At 38.5% G+C, this 22,679-nt stretch overlaps 1 protein-coding gene across 3 annotated transcripts; it reads right to left on the reverse strand.

The window, feature by feature from the left end:
* Positions 1 to 9,678: 9,678 nt before the first annotated feature.
* SLITRK3 (SLIT and NTRK like family member 3) lies at positions 9,679 to 20,068 on the reverse strand. Of its 3 annotated transcripts, none has more exons than NM_001318811.2 (2): positions 19,993 to 20,068; positions 9,679 to 13,810 (listed from the first exon to the last, which is right to left on the reverse strand). In NM_001318811.2, exon 2 carries the CDS (start codon positions 13,787 to 13,789, stop codon positions 10,856 to 10,858), a length of 2,934 nt encoding a protein of 977 aa, NP_001305740.1. In that variant the 5' UTR covers positions 13,790 to 13,810; positions 19,993 to 20,068; the 3' UTR covers positions 9,679 to 10,855. The 3 variants fall into 3 exon arrangements, with proteins under 3 accessions (NP_001305740.1, NP_055741.2, NP_001305739.1); NM_014926.4 differs by lacking the exon at positions 19,993 to 20,068 and adding an exon at positions 19,551 to 19,830; NM_001318810.2 differs by lacking the exon at positions 19,993 to 20,068 and adding an exon at positions 18,539 to 19,343.
* Between the last annotated feature and the right edge of the window lie 2,611 nt (positions 20,069 to 22,679).

Raw genomic sequence — 22,679 nt, forward strand, 5'->3', positions numbered from 1 at the left:
AATCAGAATTATAAACAATCAAACAAAAAAGAACATTTTAATATGCAATGTAAATGACTTTTTATGTTTCTTAGGTAATAGTAATTTATAATGCTCTAATAAAACTTAAGTCTGACTGTCAACATGTTTAAGACATGGAGAAGCTTTTCCTGGAAGTTATTAATTATCACCAGGTATTCTCTCAGCCCAACACAGTTAATTATTCAGAAAAATTCAAGTTAAAAGGTTTACTGACTTTTACAGGGGGTTAAGATATGAAACTTAATTTATGTCTCATGTTCATATCTTTTGTATGTTGTATATTAACCTTTTAATATTTTGTCATAGCATTTTTATTAATGAAAATAGTAATAAAATTTTGTAGCATATGTGTACACATAACTATGCATATTCATATTTTTTACTTTACAATTCCAATATATTACATCTTCCTAAGTGATCGTATTTTAGGTGTCAATTTTATACAAACCTATTTTATGTCTGAAGAATTTATTAGCCCTACATCCCTGATTCTATTGACAAGGAAGATATTCCTATGTTACATTCTAAGACATACTGGGCTACATGCCATTAATTTCTGTGACAATAGTTTGAAATTCTGCAATCCCTTTAACACAGTACTTCTGCAAAATAACCTCTAAAATAATTAAATTAGACTCTAAATGCATTAAAAATGTAAATATGAAGTTTAGAATTATTTTTTCCCTAATAAGATTAGAATTCAAACACAAGCATATTTCAAGGACAATGTAAAATGACAATGAAAATATACAATTTCAACACAAAGTCAAACATTCAAGACAACTAAGGTGTAGGAATAAAGTGCCAAACTTCCAGACCCAAAAAGCACTCTGAATTTTTATATGGATATTCATATCTTTAATAAAAATATTTACCTTCCGTTTATTGTATAAAGTATGTCTTTGTTCTTACAACTGCCTTAAATATTTCTCTTTGGGTTAAATTTACCATCAATTAAACTCTGGTTGATTACTATACATTTTCAGTAAGCTAGAAGAGAACGTGATCATAGCATTTCAAGAATCAAAGTTTAATAAGAATACAGATGCATATTCTTCTCTTTGTAAGGCCTCACATTACCTAAGTGAAAATGCAGTTTGACATGCATTAAAATTTGGATCCTACAAGGCAGAAATATATTTCATATATTAATTTGTATGAGTATCTGCAATCCTTTGTTGATAATCTAATTACTCCTCACCTTTGTCCACAACAGAGTTAGAACTGAAAGGGATATAACTACACAAATCCTGACACTCCAAGTGTTAATTATTATACATTTGTCTTGTATAGAACAGACAAAAATGTATTTAAACAGCTCTTCTTTTTAAAGGAAGGCAATATGTATAATACTTTTATATATGCCCTGTTTTATTTTAATAATCTTGGCTGGATTAACATTCTAGTAAAATTTGCAGTGAAGTGGTAGAACCTGCTGTTAAGCAATGATAACAAAGAATACATCAATAGAGCCCACTAAATTATTGCTCTTATTTATAAACATTTAAGCAACTGAGCAAAAGCTTTCTAACACCGCACCTGAATAGTATTGGCTATGCTCCTTTCTCTGCTTTGTCTACTGCTGAGGAGCTATGAATACATCTTGTAACTCTTCCCCTCCCTCCCTCGCTTCCTTCCTTCCTACTTTCTTCCCCCTAGTTTCTCCTTGGAGACATGCTCATATTACTCATTTTCCTCTGCCTTCTTTGTTTAGTCAGCTTGTATCTTGCTTATTTAGACACCATGTATATTGCCAATAATCAAATTTAAGAAAAGTAAAAGAAGTCATTTCTCATACTGTCACATTTCTTACCACCTCTCTTACACTCCAAACTCCATTTCTTTTCATCATTTCTCTGGGTTACATACACAGGACTTTCAACTTTTGCAAGAATCCATAGGCCACACATATTTAAAACTCTGTCCATTCATTTATTCAACAAATATTTATTTAGTGTTTATTGTTGCCCAGGCTCTGTGTTGAAAATAATGGGAAGAAAGGTAGTAATGTGGCTATTTTAGTAACAGGAAAAGATTCACGAAACTCAGAAGTTTGATCGGAATGTATTGCCCTTACCTGTGCAAAATATGGTCCTAGACACTGGGCTACGAAAGACTGAAGACAATCTGTGCTCTCAAGTGCTTACAACATAATTGAAAAGCCAGAATTCTTGGCACCAATAGGCAAAATGACTGAAGGACACTTAGGGTAAAATATTCCAACATACTCAAATCAGCATAAAGTAAATAGTGTGCAGGAGTATTTGAGAGAATAGTCAAAATTTAGTTTACTGTATCAATAGAGGCCTACTGCATGAAGGGAATTTGAAACTGAATTTTGATACCCATGAAAGATATGTATTTTCAGGAGATAAAAGAATAACCACAGTAATTTGTACAAACATGGGAATAAACAAACTGCATATTCTGAAAGATAAAGTATTTGCTTGGTAAGATATTTGCTGAGAATAATAGTTCTCAAAATGGTGGCTGATGAGCAAGCATATGAGAATTACCTCAGAAGTCTTTCCCCAGCTGATTACACATTATCTTCTCTCTCTCTTCATTTTCTGTTTGCTACATTTCTTTCCATTTTTCTGTGATGTCCCTTGCAGTGGATATAAGGACGGATCTGTGCATGTTGCAGTTAGGAAAGGCAGATTGCAATTTGAAGAAAAGTTCCACAGAACCAATATCTCCATGCTACCTGCTTTGAGTTAGGACACAATGCTTTATGGAAATGCTCACATATATTTTTGAAATGGGATAGGAGTAGTGAAAGGTGTATCTCACAACTGGGTAGCCATGTTGAAATTAACATGAGAAGTGAGTAAGTGTCAAACCCAAGCCTGATTCATTTAACAAATAAAATATTACCAACTACAGTTTTATATACTGTTCAACATTCCACACCACATCTTACCCTATTTTGAAGCTTAAATTTAAGCCTTTATTAAAAACTACATCTGTGCAATAATGCAGTATGTAAACTGTCATTTGTTTCATAAAAATGTTAGTAGATGGTGTCCACATATATATGCATTGTGTGTGTGTGTGTATATATGTATATATCTATATCTATATATATATACACATCCAGAATTCATTTGAGCAATGTTCACTTACGTTATCCACATTTATAAAGAGAGAAGCGTATAAGATCCAAATTAAAATGCAATGTCATTATCATTTATACTGTTAAAATTCAAACCATAAAAATAAAAGGGGGGAGCAATATTACAGGTAACAAAAATACTTTAAACTATGTATATTTGGCTCTGCAATAGTCATTGCTCTGAAACGTTACATAATAAATTATAATAACTTTAATAGATAATTAAGTTTTCTTAAAAATAATAATAATTGGTTGTGTTTCTTAAATACATTCTAGTAATGGGCTAAGGACAGTTATGTTACAATGGCCCAAAAATTAACTAGCAGGCAATGAGGAGTTCTTGTTTGTACACAAGAAACTATTACTATTTAAAAGAGGAAAAAAGACCTCCTCATTTATTTTACACATCTGTACCATGAACTAATCTAAATGTTTTAATATCATTACTTCAGTTCATCCTAGTGATTTTTTGTGTTAATATTTACTTTTAATTATAATTTGTTCAGTTATCATCAAGGTTTGATTTTCAGTGAATTTGTTAACAGATGCTAATTGAAGTGGCTTAGTAAACCAACTGCAAGATTTAAACTCTTCCAAAGATAGGACACTTAAAGGTGAATACAAAAACCTAGTTCAAACTTTCTCCATTAAGCCTTTATCAAACGGTTTTCAGAAAGAGGACATTTTCATTTTACCCCCATATTTCCATTGTCCTTTTTGTTGAAGATTTCCTAAAGAAAAAGTGAAAAATTCATGGGCCTGGTTATTCCACAGACAGATTTCATACTTATACTTGGAGTTAACATTTTTCTCTATCTACTTTTAAAATTGCCAGCTAAAAAAGTAAAACAACAAATGAAGGGTCAGTTAGGAAACAGAGGAACAGATTTCAATTTTGAATTCAAATTTGGTTAAGCAGAGAACGTATAGGGGAAAAAAAAATTGCAATTGGATTTAATACACATGAAAGATTGAATTTAGATAAACCTTAAGGTTTTCTATTTAAAAAAAATTACAGGATCTGTTAATACTTTACATCTTTGATGGGCTTGTTTTTACCATAAAGTTTGTTACCACATACCGAAAAGAAAAGTATTTTAAGATAAATTGTTTTACCAGAATTCTGAAGGAAAAAAAAAAACACCCCTTAGAATTCTTTGTGGCCACATAACATCTGAATAGTCAAAAGTTTACACTGTAAATAAAAGGAGGAACAATATGTGGATTCTAGTAGCTTTAATGAAGGCAATATTTTGGATGCCACAGCAAAGATAAAGAGCATTTCAGAAGAGGAAAGGCAAGGTTTTGAGATTTTCAAGATGAGTTTCATATTTTTAAAACACTTAACTGATTTTGTCAATGTCCACATGTAGTTATAGTTTTACTATAGGTTCTGACATTTTTCATCAGACTTATGAATGATATCATAATCAGGGGATATAAGTTGAATTATCTTCTCAGCCTAGGTACAAAACTAAGTGACTTGGGCATTTTGTTACTGGGTGTAAGAATTGTCATCAATCTCTGATCTTGCTTTGACACCTGATTTGAGCTCAATGCATATGCCCTTAGTCATAAGAATATCTTGGCACTGAGTCAGAAACAGAAGTAGAAGCAGGGATGTCAGCAACAGTGAAAGCAATAAGTTCTGCAGGAAGAACAGAACTTCTTTCCATCTCTCCACACAATCAGGTGATATCTTTCTTTCAACATCTTTTTTTTCAGAGCTAACTTTGACATGCCCAGGTTTAGGGAAGTTATGCTCTCGTTTCAAAGCTACCAAAAATGATTATGCAGTGTTTCATCATTCAAAAAGACTCTAAACCTACAGGTTCTTAACAAAATGTATCAGAAATACAACAGCTCTGTCTTCACATATAACACATTGTAATATGGGTAATAGAATACCTTTCATTTTCAAGAGAACAATCTCCCACTTATTGTAATTGACTCAAAATAAAGTATTCATGTTTGTTTTTATCTAAGTCAATGGCATATTCTTCTTGATACAATTTGTTTGGTTTTGATACAGTTTAATACATTGCAAACTCATCAATCCATTGTACTTCTTATTGGTAAGTAGATAGACTAAATATACTAAAGAACCTTTTTTTTTTTTTTTTGAGACGGAGTCTGACTCTGTCCCCCAGGCTGGAGTGCAGTGGCGCAATCTCGGCTCACTGCAAGCTCCGCCTCCTGGGTTCACACCATTCTCCTCAGCCTCCCAAGTAGCTGGGACTACAGGCACCGGCCACCACGCCCGGCTAATTTTTTGTATTTTTAGTAGAGACGGGATTTCACCGTGTTAGCCAGGATGGTCTCGATCTCCTGAGCTCGTGATCCTCCCGCCTCGGCCTCCCAAAGTGCTGAGATTACAGGCGTTGAGCCACCACACTTGGCCAAGAAACATTTAATTAGGCATGCTGAGCCTTTCTGTTACTGGGTGGTGAAGAAGAAAGGCTTCTTTTTACTAACATTCATTGGGTTTTAAAGTTTAATGGTACTGTAGGAGTTGGTTTGGGTCGAACTGTAAATTTATTATGATGCCTTTGGGCTGTATATCTTTGAAATCCACCACAAGAATTATTTTCTATTAGAATTTTTTAATGTAAAAAATCATCTGTGTGAGTGCAATAGAAAAAAATACAATTTCTCAAGAATTTGTATTATCAGGAGTAAAAATTACCAAAATAAAAGAAGATGGCCATAGCATGTTGCCTCTTCACAACTACTAACCCCTGGTATACACTTGATTTCTCCATATAAAAATTATGTCTCTTCAATTCAGATTCCCTATAAGCAAACTAAAGATGGTAATATTTGTTTATTATTATTACTACTATTATCAAACATTTTAATTTAAGGATGATGTTTTAAAAGTAAAATGGGATGTTGGATGTCTTAAACTGGATCTTACTTCTCTTATATTTCACCTTTAAGATCTCACTTTTCCTACAGACCTAGATAAATTTAAAAGGTCTTGTCTAATTAATGAAGTTATTAAATTGTTTTTACCTGTAAAATTTATTCTATAAATAGAAAAATGGAAAAATAAGTACTTGCTTTTTATTAGACTTATGTTGCATACTTATATGAAGAAATTAGTTCCTATACTCTGAAGACTTCTGAAGACTTAAAATAAATCACAATCTCACTGAGATGTATTCCCTATGATTTAAATAACAAAATGAAACAAATTGGAAGATAAAATAACTTATAAATTCAGAAATATTAATTACAGTGTTACTTTTTACATGTGAATATTCCGAAAGTGAAGACTCAAAATTTCATCCAGCTTCTCTTGGATGGTGGCTAGACAGAAGCAAGAAAAATAAATGCATAAAACAGAAATTGTTATACATGTAATAAAAAATGTGTAATTTACATATAAGTAAAATTCAGCATATATAAACTATATACATGTATATACAATGTATATACATATATAATAGTACTATATACACACACACACACACACACACACACAATGGCCCAATTATACATGTGTTATTGCTCCTATTACTTTTAAAAGGCCTATAGTATATTAAACAGAACATAGTATATTGAAGTGAATACGGTGATTTTAGTGATACTTATTTGTGTTCTGTTCACCTGAATATTCAGTGGAAAATTTTGAGCTAAGTGTAAGTTATAAATGTCTAAGTTCAAATGAAACTAGCTCAAATCACTTAAGATGGAGTGTCCATTGATTACCACTTCCTCTCACATTATCTTGACTTGTTATAGTCGTATTTCTCAAATTTTGTGTAGCATTTCATTAATGCTCCCTTTGTCATAGCCATTTCACAAAAGCGTAACATTTATTGTCCTAGACAACATAATTGCAAAAGGACAGGACTGTACGAATGATGAATTTACACTGAGTGAATCAAAATAATGTGTTGCGATGGTTAAAGTTCTTTTGTTCTATAATTGCATTATAAATTTTCATAATCCTAAACATATTCTTTTCAAATATCAAGGGTTTAAAGTAATAGTGCCAGGTTTCAAAAGAAATCTTCAAGCTCAGTCATTAAATTTTCCTTTCGATTCCCTCTCTCTAAAGTTTATTAAAATTATAGTGTTCATCATCCTTATATTTAAGTATTTGCAATTACATAAAATAATATAGCATTCTAAATAAAAATATAAAAACATCTACATAAATAATACCACATATGATGTATAACATGATGTTAAAACTTATTGAATTAAACTAATAGTTCATTTCCAATTATTTCTCACTAATCATCTTATAGTTTGAGATATTACAATATTTTTATTATTTCTAAATATTATTACTATACTTGGTAATAAAAATAGCAATGAATAATAGCAAGTAACTGCCAGAACTGGGTCTGCTTTAGTCAAGTTAGTCCTCACAATGAAGTGAATTAGTAATCTAACTTTTTCTTAAAAATAAATATTTTACTACAGCAAAAACATAAAACATATTATAATCATAGTACCTACATGAATATCCATCGTGTTTAATGAAATCAGATCTAGTATTATAAACTGAAGCTAACTTAGGTAATTTGAATGCACAGCAAAAATAAATGTCCTAACCAGGGGGTGGAAAATTCCATAAAAGCAAAAAACTATTCCCTTAAATACAAAATTCCATTCTCATATAAATTTATTTTTGCTAAATAAATAAATTTATTTCTCATTCAAGGGTGAAAGTACCACCTATATTTAAGACCAAACAGTCTTTCTGTATTTAATAAGTGAAATATAAACATTATAATTATCAAGTTATATTGTGATTTGATATTGTTTATGGGCACTCATTTTTCAAACGTTGAAAGCACCAGGGTCTTTTGAGATTGTACTTTAGCCTGATTTGTATAAAATGCTGTGTTATGAATATGTGCGTGGTCATTAAGGAAATGAGGACTACTATCTGAAGCATCTAGCTTTGCACTTTTAAGTTTTTACTATGCATATGCTTTCTATTATTCCCCAAACCATTTGATTAGGAGGAATGGAAGTATGATAAATTGCTAGTTCAGAGAGACTCTGTAATTTGGGTTTTAAAACACTTAAAGTGTAATATTGGTTTTATGTACCTTAAAAAAAAGAGACAGATGATTAGAAAGAATAAAGGAGGTGGGATAACCAGAAGAAAGGTGATTTGTGGGAAAGTAAAAAAAGAAAACAAGAAAGAAAAGAAGAAGATAAAACAAAAAAGAAGAATGACACTTATCTAATAATTGGCCTGACTCTTCTGCATAAGAGCTTCATTTCAATATTACACAGACAGATAAAGTGAATGATGTTCATGGGCTTTTTCCTTTTAAAATAATTCCAAATTATATTCAAATAATTGAGCATAAAAGTTATAGATACATGTCAAGAGCCCCAAAACTGCAATTTTATATGTATATACTTGTCTTTTTTATTTTTATGCATACCTATGCTGATATTTCTATATAATTAATTAAGAGGAATATAAATATATTCTTGTAGACATTCATGGGGCTTTTCATTTTGTTACTACAATGCCTTCGTGCTATTGTAGTCACACACCTTCAGAAGCTGCTAGACTCATTCTCTTTTTGTGGAAAAAATTGTGATGTAAGGCTTCAGTGACTTGTGATGAATTACATTCAACACCTAATGATAATTCCTGCTATGGGCACTTTGAGGAAACCCTAGCAGAGAGCACTGACCTCGCTGCACAGTTCTGCGGGTCCTGGGTCTGTGGATCTCTGGAACTCTGCTGCCCTCTAATGGCCTACTTAGATAAGTGCCTGCCTCATAGGTCTGTTTTCTTAAGTTTCCTCCACCAATTTGATACCGGCACCATAAAAATCCAATATTCTTTGGTTTCGCTCACATATAAATGGATCTAAACTTGGTTTGTTGTCAGGTTAATTTTTCAACATAATTTTAATGTCATATGACGAAAAACTCATTCAGCATCCTCTGACTTAGTTCAAGCGTTATTGGGGCCAGTTGCTGTAAGTGGTTGGAAAATGGTAACCAAATATAAGTGACAGCTTTCACAGGATTCTGGCCATCTAAATTGGCTCCACGGCCTTTGATATTTATTGGGTTGTGTGGGTGTGTGTGGAAGCGTGTGGGTGTGTGAGGGTGTGCATGTAATTGGACTACATATTTTAAAAACAATAGCAATTTTACTTTCCAATTTCTTTATCTCATTTATTATCTTAAGATGTATGGATCCTAGATTATCTTCTCCTAATTAATCCTGTACTTCTTAGCGATCTAGTTACTTTATTTTCTCCCCCTTGCATCTTGCCTGGGAAACAGTGCATCACTGGTTACTAAGACTGAAATTCATAATTCAAGGAAAAAAAAGTAAACCGTAAGTCACATTTTAAGTCTCAATTGTATCCTGGTTTGGACTAGAGATGGTGGGATATAAGATTTATCAACATCACAGTGCATCAAACCCGTTAATAAATTACTTTCTGTGTAACAAGTAAAAGAAATCATTTCTAAAATGGAAGCACGAAAGGCATGGCATAGCTGGAGTTTAAGGTTCAAGCTTTGTATCCTCTATATATAATGTATTATGTTTTTCAAAAACTTTTTATTAGGAAAGCTATACCAGAGGCATAATCACTATACAATGATTAAACATTACCTTTACAATTTATAATCACTGAAATTACAGAATAAATATATGCACATTTCTTTTGAATCTTTGTGTGTGAGAGAGAAAACATTAAAAGTGCTTCCTACAAAGCTGTTAGTGATATATACCCAGTTGCTTTTTTTAATATTATATATATATATAAGAAAGTGCAGATGTTCTCCAAAAAATCTTGGCATCAGGATGAAGTGTCACAAAGAGGGTGCTCATCCCTAGGCGTGTGTCTTCGGCTGTTAAACCACCAGGCCTCTACTTCAGTAGAATCCAGCCTAGAATGTGACTTTTCCCAGGGTGGTAGGAGAGATGCTGTGAGCTGTACACTAGCAGTGAAGGGTGGTAGAACTATGGAGAGGAGAAAAATGGATCAAACCCGAACTAAGCAGATTGAGTTGAATGGAAATGGTATGGAGTGTGTGTGTGTGTGTGTGTGTGTGTGTGTGTGTGTGTGTGTACCTGCACCAGCAGGAAGAAACTGCAGGTTTAGGGACCATGGTCTGCAGATGGATATGTGTATGAGAGACAAGATAGTGAGTGAGAACATTCGAGCAAGACCCGCCCCCTCCCTCCCCATCTTGCAGTTTCCAGGCATGCAGCAAACTGCATTGTTAATACATGTACAGAATCTGTGCCATGATGATAAGAAAGAAAGCCACAAATGACAAATGTCAACTTGTTTCCCCCCCTTTAAATCAAAACTACAACTATAAAAAAAATAGTTACTGAAAATAAAAAGACACATTGAATTTTACTTAATTAGGATCCATACAATGATCCCCAGTATATCTTATACATGGCACAGTCAAAGTCTCAAGTTTCAGTATAAAAAAATAATGATAACATTTGCTGGCAAAAGTCTGCGAAGGCACTTTCATTGATTAATGATCTGAGTATGGCCCTTCCTCCAAATCGCATCTGAGAGGGGAGAGCATACATCTGTATTCTCTAGTTATCATGCGGTTTTAGTTTTGTTCAGGGTAGGAAAGATCGTGAGGATGGAGTTACTGGGACAAGTGTAAAGGGAGCAAGGGATATATTTCTTTTATTTTCCTTTTCTTTTGAAAAAAAAAAAGCACTAATATATTTTCTTCTCTCTGTTAGAACCTGTATGTTGTCTTCTCCAGGACTTCGAGGTAATCCGGCTTGGTTTGAAGTTTGGCCCTTAACTCGAGGTAATCACTTTTTTGGGTTTGGTGGTCTGTGAAGCCCTTTCCAGCCGAGAAGAGAAGGGTTTCTTTGAGCCTGGCATCCTGCTGTAAGTCTGGGTATTGCATGCCAGGAGGGTGCACGTGCAGTTCCTTTAATTTGGGCACTGTTCCATAGAGACAGTCCACAAATCCCACTGTGCAGGGGGCAGGCTGTGGCCTCTCTCGATCTAGTAGCATACTGCCACTACCACAGCCTCCCCCAGGAGGAAACAGCACCACCCCACCATTTTTCTCATGGTGGCGGAACCCTGCCAAGTCTCCCCCAGTTCCCCCAACTACTCCTGAAACCCCACCAACTGCTGGGTGGTGAGGGTGATGGTGATTCACCGTCACTATGGTGTTAAGCTGGGAGCTGGACACTGCTAGGGCCCACTCCTTCTCTTTTTCCAGCAAGGTCCGGTAGTTACTATGGTTCTCCTTGGGTGTCTCAGCAAACTGCTCACTTCCTAGGAGAGCCTCACCCATTCCCGGTGGTTGTGTCCCTGGACCCCCACGTTCTGCACTCCCTGCTTCTTGGGCTGATGAAACAGCCACCTCCTCCTCCTCACGAGGCTTGTAGATGGGGTTGTTGCACATTTGGGTAACCGGGTGGGGGATGTACTCATACACATGACCCACGGGAGGGGCCTTCTCTGGAGAGGAAAGAGTTGGTCGACCACCACCCCCACTTCCGCCACCACCACCTCCACCATCCTCAAACAGCCTGTGGCATTGCATTTGGATGCCAGTAAGGTCCACACCTTCCTGCCGCTTGCTTCTGAAGGGCAGCTTCTTTCGACGCCTTCGGAGCACGTAGGCAAAGAGGCCTGCAGCAACAAAGACTGCTGAGAAAAACAGAACCAGCAGGCTGAGAATTAACACAGAAAGTGGCACAGGGCCCCCAGGAGGAGAAAACTCATAAGGTGATGCACTGGTTGGTGCCCCAATAAGGTGAGAATCTCCAGGCTGGGCTGGGGATTCTCCAGCTGGTGCAACGTGCAGCATCTCTGGGCAAAGAACTTCCAGCTCAATAGTGCGCACATCACGGTGCGTGAGGTTCTCAGGGCTCCTGCAAAGCACATCACCAACCACACTGACTGAGCTGATGGTTTCGATCCACTGTTTAAAGGGGACCAGGTCACAGGTGCAGTCCCAAGGATTCTCATTGAGGTCTATCTGGACAATGGCATTCAAGTGTTCCAGGACACCAGCCACGGGAAGATAGAGGAAGTAGTTCTTCCTCAGGTTGAGCCGGGCCAGGGATGTGCCAGCAAAGGCGTCTGTTGGCAGAGTCCTCAGTAAGTTATTATTGAGGAATAGCAGCTTCAAGTTGGGCATGAGGCTGAAGGCTGCAGGCTGGATTTCCCGGATGACATTGAACTCAAAGTACAAGTAGTGCAAACTCTGTAGGCCTCGGAACATGCCTGGTGTCAGCTTCTCTATATCGTTGCCATTAAGGAAGAGGCTCTTTAAGTTGGGCAAGTTGATAAAGGCCCCATCTTGGACATAGGAAATACGATTGTTCCCCAGATGCAAGAGATCCAAGGAAGAAAAATTCCAAAAATCAGAACGGTATATTTTCTGAATCAGATTGCTACTCAGATACAGTTTCTTGGCATTCAAGGGCCTTGGAAGAAGTTCAGAAATGTTATTAAATCCTCGCTCTTTGCAGTTGACAGTCAAGCCAAGGTCATTGATGTGCAAATTACAGGTACACCCAGTGGGGCATATAATGGGGATTGGTGGTCTGGTCTGATAAGGAGCAATGGGAGGCTGGTTTGGACCAGGATATAAAGCTTGGGAGGTGGAGGGTGGCCTTGGTGTTCGAGGCTGTTTGGTGGGCTTAGGCTGTTTATTTGAGGACTTGTATTCGACAGAAGAAGCAGTAAAATGAACAGAGGATAGCATTGAGGAAGGCTTAGTTGGCCATGCATTCTCCTTACTTGATGACGAATGTGGAATTCCCAAACTAGCCTCTACCTCAGAGTCAGACAACAAGGGACAGAGTTCTGTCTTCCTGATTTCTCGTAGGTCCTTTCCATGGAAGTGGAAAGGGGTCTCACAGGTAATGTCTCCCACCAGGGCAGTATAAGGAATGCGTTCCAGCCAACTCTTCAGTTGTACAATTTCACATGTACAGTTCCAAGGGTTTTCTTCCAGCTGGAGCTCCATCAGGCTTCTGCCAATGTGATCTAGCATTCCTCGGTAAAAAAGAACCTTTAACCTATTTCCACGTAGGTCCAAATGGGTTAAAGAGACAGCCTTAAATAAATTGGTTGGAAGCATGGGGATGAGATTATCATTTAAAATCAGAACCCTCAATTTACTTAGGTTCCGAAATGCCCCACTCTCAATACGTTTAATGACATTGTAATCTGCCTGCAGATATTCTAGACTTTCCAAGCCAAGGAAGGTGTCATTTCTGAAGACATCTAGTTTGTTTTCATGTAGATATAGTCTCTTTAAAATCTTAAGACCATTGAAAGCTCCAGTCTGAATGTCCTGCAATGCATTGTTCCCAAGATTAATAGACACAGCATTATTCAAATGAAGAAAACTGTTGGTATATAATTTCCTCATAGAATTCCTCTGCAGATACAGTTTAAAAGGTCTTGACCAGAACTCGGTAATCTGACTAATATTTGTAAATCCTTTACTGTCACAATGTATATGAAAGAGGCTTTCTTTAACTTCACAGTAGCATGGATCAAAACAGGGCTCATCTATTTCCTCTGAGTCCTCTATTAGGGGAATCGGGGTAGTCCATCCTAGAGCAATTGTGCTTAGAAGAATTATCCACAACATCCTTCCTCTGTGAAGCATCTCAGCTATGGAAGGTTTCATCGTTCGTGGTTGATTACAAAACTGCAACAGAAATAAAAATGCAGATTTTTAGCTTTTAGTCATATGTACTATTTTAATTGACTCCTACATGTGGGGCATTTTAAGAGCTATATAAAAACTTCAGCAATTGTTGAAGTGACACTCAAGATGAGCTAGCAACATACTTAATGTTTAGAGTGTGTCCTATATTTTAAACTTAGGAGACTCTGAAATATTGAACCATGCAGTGACATTTTCCTGAACCAAGCCATACTTGGTAAACGGCATATTGCATGAACAAAAGCAGCCTGCATTGCCTCTGTATAACAAACAACAGAACTGGTATATCGTACTTCCTTTTAGGCATAGGCAGATTCAGTAATAATGGCAATAATGTGGCCATCACACCTGTTTGCCTGTTAAAACTCATGTTGACATCAAAGATACTCATAATAAATCTGATTGGAACTCTGATGGGAAAAATATGTTCTTTGAGTTATAGGTTTTGATGATTAAAAAGACATGATATACTCCAAAATTATTATATTGATTAGTGTGATAAAGTATGAGCCTATTGCTCAATATCAGATGTTGAGATGTGTAAAATGATCAGCATCTCAGGAAAACTTAAGATTTATTTTTATGAAATGATCATAACATGCTTTATTACAGTGTATAGTCAGTATGTACACTATATGTCCACATCTTCTTGCCCAATAATACATTATTGTCATCTTCTTTAATTTAATAAATAATTTGTATATATTTGTATCATTTGACTATTTAAAACATGTAGGAGTGATTAGCCCTTCTAAAAAACATGCCCGTGCAATTGTCAGAGCTAAAGATAGGGACAGCTAGAGGATGCTGAGTCTGAAAGTGTCTGAATTAAAACATTTGCAAAACTTAGTTTGGAATGTGTATCTGCGCCTTCAAGATCAACTGAGGAACCCTGTAAAAAGCTGGAAGAGCAGGTGGCTGGTTAGAGGGGAGGTGGGTAGTTAAAGTCAAGAGAGAGTGGAAACCTCTATTCTTACCTGCTGATAAATGATCTATCACACGAAATAAATTTCAAAAAAGATATCATTCTTTTCCAATCAGAAGAAACAAATGCAGTGCACTATTCTGATAACAGTCTTTCTCTATGCATCGTTTTCCTTGCCTAATAACATCAGTATATGAAAATGTTTACATAAATGATAATAATGCAGTTTTATTACACTGTCCTTCCTGAGTCACTAAAATATCAATCAAAATTTAATAGCTGATTTTAATCAACAAAAATAAACCAAAGTTTCTAGCATATATTTTCCTCATAGAGAGCACACAGAAAGATATATTTCATCAACCTTCTTCTTAAACCACAATGATATAATTTATAGGAAAAGTGAAAGAAATAAATCTTCACATTACACTCGCCTATAATGTTCACAGCTGTAAAGAAAGGAGATACCGTGAGAAAGCAAAGAGAAATCTGCCTCAGACATGCAATACTCAAAAATTAAAAACAATTCAGTGAAAAAGAGGGAGAGAGAAAAGGCTACATTGCAGTATCAATTAGTCTTCCATCTCCCTTATGAAATATTAAAATCTACTTAAGTTCTTTCTTCACCATCTTAAATATTTTTCTTGTTTTTCAGGTCCCTATGGTTTAGGCAAAAAAGGCTACAGATGTGTTGGACTTACCTATTTTGCCAGAGTTTTTTTGGGTTTCGGGTTTTTTTGTAATTTATTTATTTATTTATTAGCATGGAACCGTGAAAAGAAAAAGAAAAAAAAAAAGCTTGAGTTTAAGGATTCTCTCTCTTTCCCTCCCCCTCCCTTTGCTTTGCTGAAGCTGAAGCAAAAGGGGATAAAGGGGGTTGGGCGGGGGGACTAAGAGAAAAAAAAAAAAAGCAGCAAGCTTGAGACGTGCTGGGAATGCAATGGGCTCTTCAATGGGCTTCTTTAGGATGCAGAACTGCCGCTTGGCACACTCAGTAGAGGAGGGAGGAGAAGGGGCTGCAGCAGGCTTCCAGCTCTGCTGCCCCTGCCGCTGCCGCCGCGGTGGCTGCTCTCTTTGGGTACCCACAGCACATCACTGGGCACTGGGAGGAAGCACAGGAGGGAGGCAGGGAGGAAGGAAGGCTCAATCACAGTGCAGAATCTCAGACTTCTCTCGCTCCGGCTTTAAAAATATATATGTGCTATAACCCTGAACCCAGCATTCCACGTCATGAAAATGAGCTCCAAAGGGAACGCGCTTAGCATGGGTTCGGGAGCGAGCACTAGGAACCCCTGACTATACAGTTGAGTGAGTGTGTGTGTGTGTGTGTGTGTGTGTGTGTGTGTAGGGAAAAGAAGTAGAGGGGTAGAGAACACAAATTGGCAAAATAAGAAACCAGAGAGAAGGGGGAGGAGACCAACCTATGGGAAACATTTCTTTGGTGAGGAAGGTGGAGATGGGGGAGGGGGGCAGGGATAGGCATTTTCTTTCTTTCTTTCTTTCTTTCTTTCTTTCTTTTTTTTTAAACTCTCAAGGAAACCATCCCCTGAATGATTTGCTCCTTTAGTTTCCAAAGCTCATCTCTCTAGTGCAGGTGGTTTGAAAAGTGAGACTATCCTTCGTAAGTATCATTTTCACAGGACAGCCATTCCCTGCAATGACGGGGATGGGGGGAAATCCAGGTCCCCAAAGCAGAAAAGCTGAATCTGTCTGATTCTGCCTGGGTGTCCCGAATAAGAGCTCAGACAGCCTGAAAGACTTGGACCGAGTTTCTCCTGCATTTTGCTTCGATCCCGTTGCACCAGGAATTCTTTTGTTGTGCTGCAGGTCAAAGCCTTCGATAGCCCCTGGATTCAACAGCATTTCTTTTCTTCCACTTTTTAAAAACAGAGACAAGCCAATTCTCTGGAAGGAGATACAGACCACTTGGGTAACAATGGTACATTTCACATTGCGCCACCGGGAAAGACCTCGCGGGATTGGGGTGGATTTAAGGATTTGGATGCTTTTGTCCGTTCTTTCTCTTTCTTATTTTTTAAACTCAAATATTTCTCCGTGAAATTTTCGGGGAGTGAATCCTAGGGAGTAGTGGGAGTGGGGGTGGAGGTGATTGAAGGAAGATATTGTATTGTAGAGGGACTACCAGATGACAGTTCAGGAACGCTTTCAGAGGAATTTTTTTAAGGCTCAGCTGACAGCACTACAGTCCTGCCTGCTGGGAAGGAATGCAGCTTGGTGGGGAAACTGGGGAGAGCCAAGTGTGCAGCAAAGGAGTCTAATCAACAGGACCCGTGTGCTGTGGATGCTCCCCATCTGCCCCCACCAGCACACACCAATCCTGTCACCAACTCCTCGCCGGGAGGGGAGAAGGCAGGGACTTTTTGGTTGCTAAAGAACTAAACTGAACCTCAATTGCCCAAGGACTCAAAGTTAGTAGGTAGAGATGGTTTTCCCTTAATGGACCCTTTACAAAAGCAAATTTTAAAGCAAAGCACAGCTTACATGTCAATTTCTTACTGCTCTAAAACAGGTAAATCACCTAACAATGTGTTCCTTAAAAGTCAGTCAAAGGCAATTTCCATGATATTTTGCATTTAAAATGACCGCACAGGAGTCCACTGGCAGACAGTAGCTAATTTTAGAAACATGCCACCATACACTAAGTAAGCAGGAGGGCAGAATTTTCTAACATTCTACCCTTAATATTCCAGACTCACCCTATTGCTCCCATAGGTCTTAGCCAAGAAGTAAACCAATACCGATAGCCTAAGCTCAGAATCAGAGCAATTCCCTCTCCCTCCCCAGCTGCCGGCACCCGCACCCTCCCCCCCATCCCCCGCCCAGCACTTTGGGTACCCAATGTGCAGAGGCGGTGACTATTTATCGGGTGTTATCGGAACCCATGATGTGATGGAATCGATGGGTAACCCGGAGGCTGCCCTGAGCTTCCAGATGACGGTAAATGTTGTCTCGGCAATGAAGTCTCTGTTATTTCTTGAACTAAAACCCCTTACGTTCTGGACCTGGGCTGTGTCCTAAAGGCTATCTCACCTTTTTCCTTTTCTTTAGCTCAGGATAGCGCGTCTAAAGGACAGGGAGGGCTCCAAAAGTTAGGGAATATTGAGCCATGGGGCCCCAGTTTTTTCCGTGTCCTGCTGGGAGCGCCCAGAGCCATTTGTTTGTCCAGAGGGAGGACAAGAAGCCCTTTCTCCCTGCTGTGCCCCCTTCCCACTTCCTCCTCCCCACTGCTGGATCTTACAGCTCACTAATTTTTTCAGATCTAAGATTAAGTATTCCAATATGGAAGCAAAACTATCTTCCCTAGAACAAATAATTAAAACGCTGCATCATTCATTTTCTGAAGAGCTTTGAGCCGTCTATAGAGCCTTTTCTAATCTGCTGTCGTCAGGCGAAACGCACAATGGTCTGTTTAGAAACGGAAAATTATTAAAAGCTCAAGCCTTTTTCCTTCTACCTCTTACAACACCAGCGAGCATTCCACTGGGGGAGGGGTCCTTCGCTCCGCCACCTGGCCTATTTGTTGGAGTTACTTACGATGTCTTCACCCAGAAAAGAGGTCCGAGGGTATGTTAGTCTCCGGTACCCCTCCTTCCACCAACGTCCTTACACCTAACTGATCCAATTCAAAACTGCAACAAACCCCTAGCACCTGTGAGCGTACAGAATACACCGCGGCCAAACTCGATGTGCTCTACAATGCACATCCTACATACGAGAAATACTGGTTTCAATTAGGCGAAGTAGGAAAGGATGGCGGCGAGTACCTATGGTGCAGAGCGCTCAGGATCTCCGAGGTTTGCTGCGAGGGGCTACCCAGCAGGAGGGGCAAACTCTCTGCGAAGCTGAATTGTATCCATCATACTGTAGCCTTGTAGCTTCTCCTCTTCTGGCCACCAACTTTCCGAAAGGCTACCGAATCACGCTTGTAATCCGTTTAAATGTTTCCACCTTTGAGACTTGCAGGGAAATGGTCGCTGCATACCAATGGGAGAGCGGGGCGCGCACCTAGCGCGGCGATGCCAGCGACAGGGAGCTCACGACCACAGCTCCCTATGCCCTCGATGGTTGGTAGGCAGGCAGGCAGAGTGAGTGTCCCAGGACTAGGTTCCTTTGATTTAAAATCTCGGTGCTCTGGATCAGTGGAGAGCTTCGTTGTTCCCGAGAGCCTGAGCTCAGTCTCTGGATTTCTCTCTTTCTCTCTTCCTCAAAGGTTGTCACTCACAGCGCAATCCCTGCCCGAGGCCTCCTTCCATCCGAGAAGATGGAATTAGCCCTTGCTTTTCCAGGGTGTCTTTGCTCTTTGCCCTTTAGGTGGGTGGGAGTGGGGGTTGGTGGCGTGTAGATGAGAGAAGAAAAGGGTGGGGAGAGGCGGAAAGGAGGCAGGAAGGGGGCGACTAGATCTCAGATCCCAGCATTGGTCAGACGGCGAAGGTGGGGGGAAAGAAGGAGAGGGGGAGAGAAGATACAAATACACAGTATGGCTGTGCACACCAAATTCCACTTGGATTTGGGAGATCTCAGGCAAAGCACGAAGGTGAAGCGATACCGTTGGCAGAGAGTGAGTCCTCTGACCGCTCACCATTCAAGCACCCTCACTTCTCGAGCGGGAGAAGGTGCGGGGGAGGGGGGTGGGAGGGGGAGGGGACTGCTGAACGTTTCAGGCCAAGGAGACGCTCGCGGCGGCGGCGGCGGCGGCATCTTTTAAGACTGACCTGCTTTAAAAGTGCCACTTTAATGGCCTAGGAAATAACTAAAATCGGATTACACGTTACTTACCAACGTCTCCTCCTAAACTGGAGCGCCAGGTCGTGTATAAGGAGTCAATATAGGAAACGCAGGGCTGGAACCTGAATGCAAATCCATCAGCCGCCCCCAAATCGCGCACCAAGGGAGCGGCGCTCGGGAGCCCCCAGATCAGCCCATCGCCGGAGCTCCGCCAGCGCGTCCCCCCCGCACCCCCGGCCCCTCCTCCGCGCCAACTGTGTAAATCAGCCGCCGCAGTCCTCTCGCCGCGCATCGCAGGCAAAATCCCGGCTTAGGAAGCAAGGAAGCAAGTGATCTCTCTCTCTCTCTCTCTCTCTGTCTCTCTCTCTCTCTCTCTCTCTCTCTCTCCTCTCTCTGTCTCTCTCTCTCTCGCTCTCTCTCTCGCTCTCGCTCTCGCTCTCTCTCTCTCGCTTTCGCTGTCCGCCTTTCCCTCTCCCCCATTATCGGTCACAACCTGGCAGCTCTTCAAGAGACACCCTGTGAAATTGAGTGTCGGGAAGTCAGCATTCTGTACCCGTGGATTGATTTGTAACTTTTATTTGCAAATGAGAGAGATGCCTGTTTGGAAAATTACAGCCCAAAAGGTGGAGGGTGATCAAATTAAGAACATCTGAGCTGTATTGGTGGGCGGTATCGCTAAACGCCTCCGGGGAGCGGTTTCCAAGTGATTTGCAGTAATCCCCCACCTTCATGATACATGGGTGACGATTTGAAAGTACACATATTTCCTCATCTGTTTACATTTGCCGGGGGCGGGGGGCATAAAACTGTAGGGCACAGGGAGTTGGGAGGGGGGCATTTGCCTGAGAGATGCTGGATACCATTTCGCGATAAATTAGATACGGACACTGGAACAATTAATACGTGTAATAACACGTATGTGAAAGTATTATTACAACATTACAGAGGCGACCATTACCCCCACTGCAGTCATACTAATGCAGTCATTCGTTTAATGCTCCATTCAATCTGCAGTGTAAACCAACGCAATTCTTTTTAATAGATCCCTTTCATCAGAGACTGTGTTGGAAAGAGGGCAGTCTTCCACTAACTCCCAAAGTGAATAGAAGGTAGCCTGGGGAATCATCTCTGTATCTCTTGCCATTTCTTCCTGAAGAGAATGCAATACATTGTCCAAGGAAGGCAAAGTTATTTAGCTATTATAATTGTAGGTAGAATGATCTTGAACCTATTTTCAAAAGCATTCAAAGAACTCTAACTCACCCTTTGCAAAGAAACAGTACTCTCTTTTAATTTATGCATAAAATCCTTCGATAGACAGGCCTGGATATATGTTTTACATCTTTATTTAGTGAATTTTGTATATACTATAATTTATACCATCGTTAGTTCATATTATTGACATATAATACCACAAGTTAGTGTCCGTATTACCTACATTAAAAGATAGGAAAGGATGGAGTTGGTCACAGAGACAGCCAGGGGCCTGTGGAATTTTTTGGGATATATACATATACACACACTCTAAATTTAGTATGGCAACTGTGTTGGTTCTGCATAAAATGAATTTAGATTATATATATATACGTGTATACGTGTGTGTATATATCATACTTACAATGTTTTCATTTGTTCTTTAAAATACTCAGCATTCTTCAAGATTATTAAGATTAGTAAAATATCTACAGGGACCCAGAAAGTAATAAAAAGCACCATGTATTAAAATGGATTCTTTTTAAATATAGCATTTCAGACTCACTGGCATGAATTCCAAACCTCTTTCCAGTATTTTCTAGGATAATAAATTCTTCCATGTGAATTTTACATACAGGAAGACATAGATATACAAAGAAAATTTGTCATAGGTGTTTCACTCACTGGGTCGCCAAATTGGGCTTCAAAGTGGTATATCTAGGCAGGGTTGCCAAAGGAGTACATCCCCATAATGAATCAGTCAGATTTAGGAAAAACCAAACTGCATCAGTAGTTTGATGTGTCACAGAGATATTTTTGGCCTTTTCAGGTGGTTGCCCAATTTGAGGAGACTCACTCCTGGATACACCATATTTTATGTGGGCAAGTGTGAAATCACACACATGCCCTTTGAGCCTCAGGGCTGGAGGATATTAAAGTAACCCTGAAAGACATTGGGCAACATCACTCCTAAAGTTACTGAATCTCTTTAACTTTTTGGAACTATTTTCAAGGTCATTTTGATGAGAGAGTTCTGAATATATTAATTTGTTTACTCTGAGCAGATGTTAGTGTGGCCTGATGGTACTGGGGAGCTGCAGAAGATTGAATAGCTAGAATAGGTTGTTAGTGTTAAACATGAGTACTACCCATACAAATATTACAGGCCAGATAAAAATATTGTAGAGTAAGTGATTATGATGGATATTTGATTTTATGTTGTGACTTTTTAGTGCTTTGCATACAGACATTTACATGTCCCTAGTTTTATTTTAACCAAACATCATTTACATTGTGAAAAAGGAGAACTCTCATTTAAAAAAAGATGTTCTTTATTGATGATGCACAATGGATAAAAGGAAAACATAAAAGTAATATATAGGATGTAATTTTTAGTTCAACAAATATTAATTATGTCTACATTGCTGATTGGTTTTTAAATTATAAACATTACAATATTTCAAATAGTTTTAATGATTCTGTCATTTTTCAGAGAGGAACAATGATATTGAAATAACTAAGATAGACTTTATTTTTTGGTCTAGCATATATTTTGCTCATTCTGATGGTTTAAATAAAATAAATACATCTTTTAAAAGATTTACTACTAATTAAACTAGGGTTAGAGAACTGTTTGTTGTATAATGAAGTAGCCACTCAAGAAAGTTCCAAACTTGAAATGTAGCTGTGGTAATCTGTGATTATGTACAGCATGTAGCCATTTACGTATTGTGTTTGTCTGTTTTTAAGCATTGTAAAAACATTTGTGAAGCATTGTAAAAAATTTGTGAAAAAAAACATTTTTTTTTCTCTTTGTTCATTTCAAATGCTGTTTAGGTCAACAAATTGCATGTCTGATAACCATCAAAACCTAAGTGCATTGTCATTTGCTTAACTTTTGATATACCACTGTTGAAACAATTGAAAATATAGTTACACACAATTTTATAAATGGGAACATAGGCTATAAAAGTTAAGCAAATAAAA

Source organism: Homo sapiens, chromosome 3, assembly GCF_000001405.40.
Source record: "Homo sapiens chromosome 3, GRCh38.p14 Primary Assembly".
Lineage (NCBI taxonomy): Eukaryota > Metazoa > Chordata > Mammalia > Primates > Hominidae > Homo > Homo sapiens.

What these genes read in the sequence shown, in the direction of transcription:
- SLITRK3 (NM_001318811.2), bottom strand. Translation starts at nt 13,789, where the DNA reads ATGAAACCTTCCATAGCTGAGATGCTTCACAGAGGAAGGATGTTGTGG.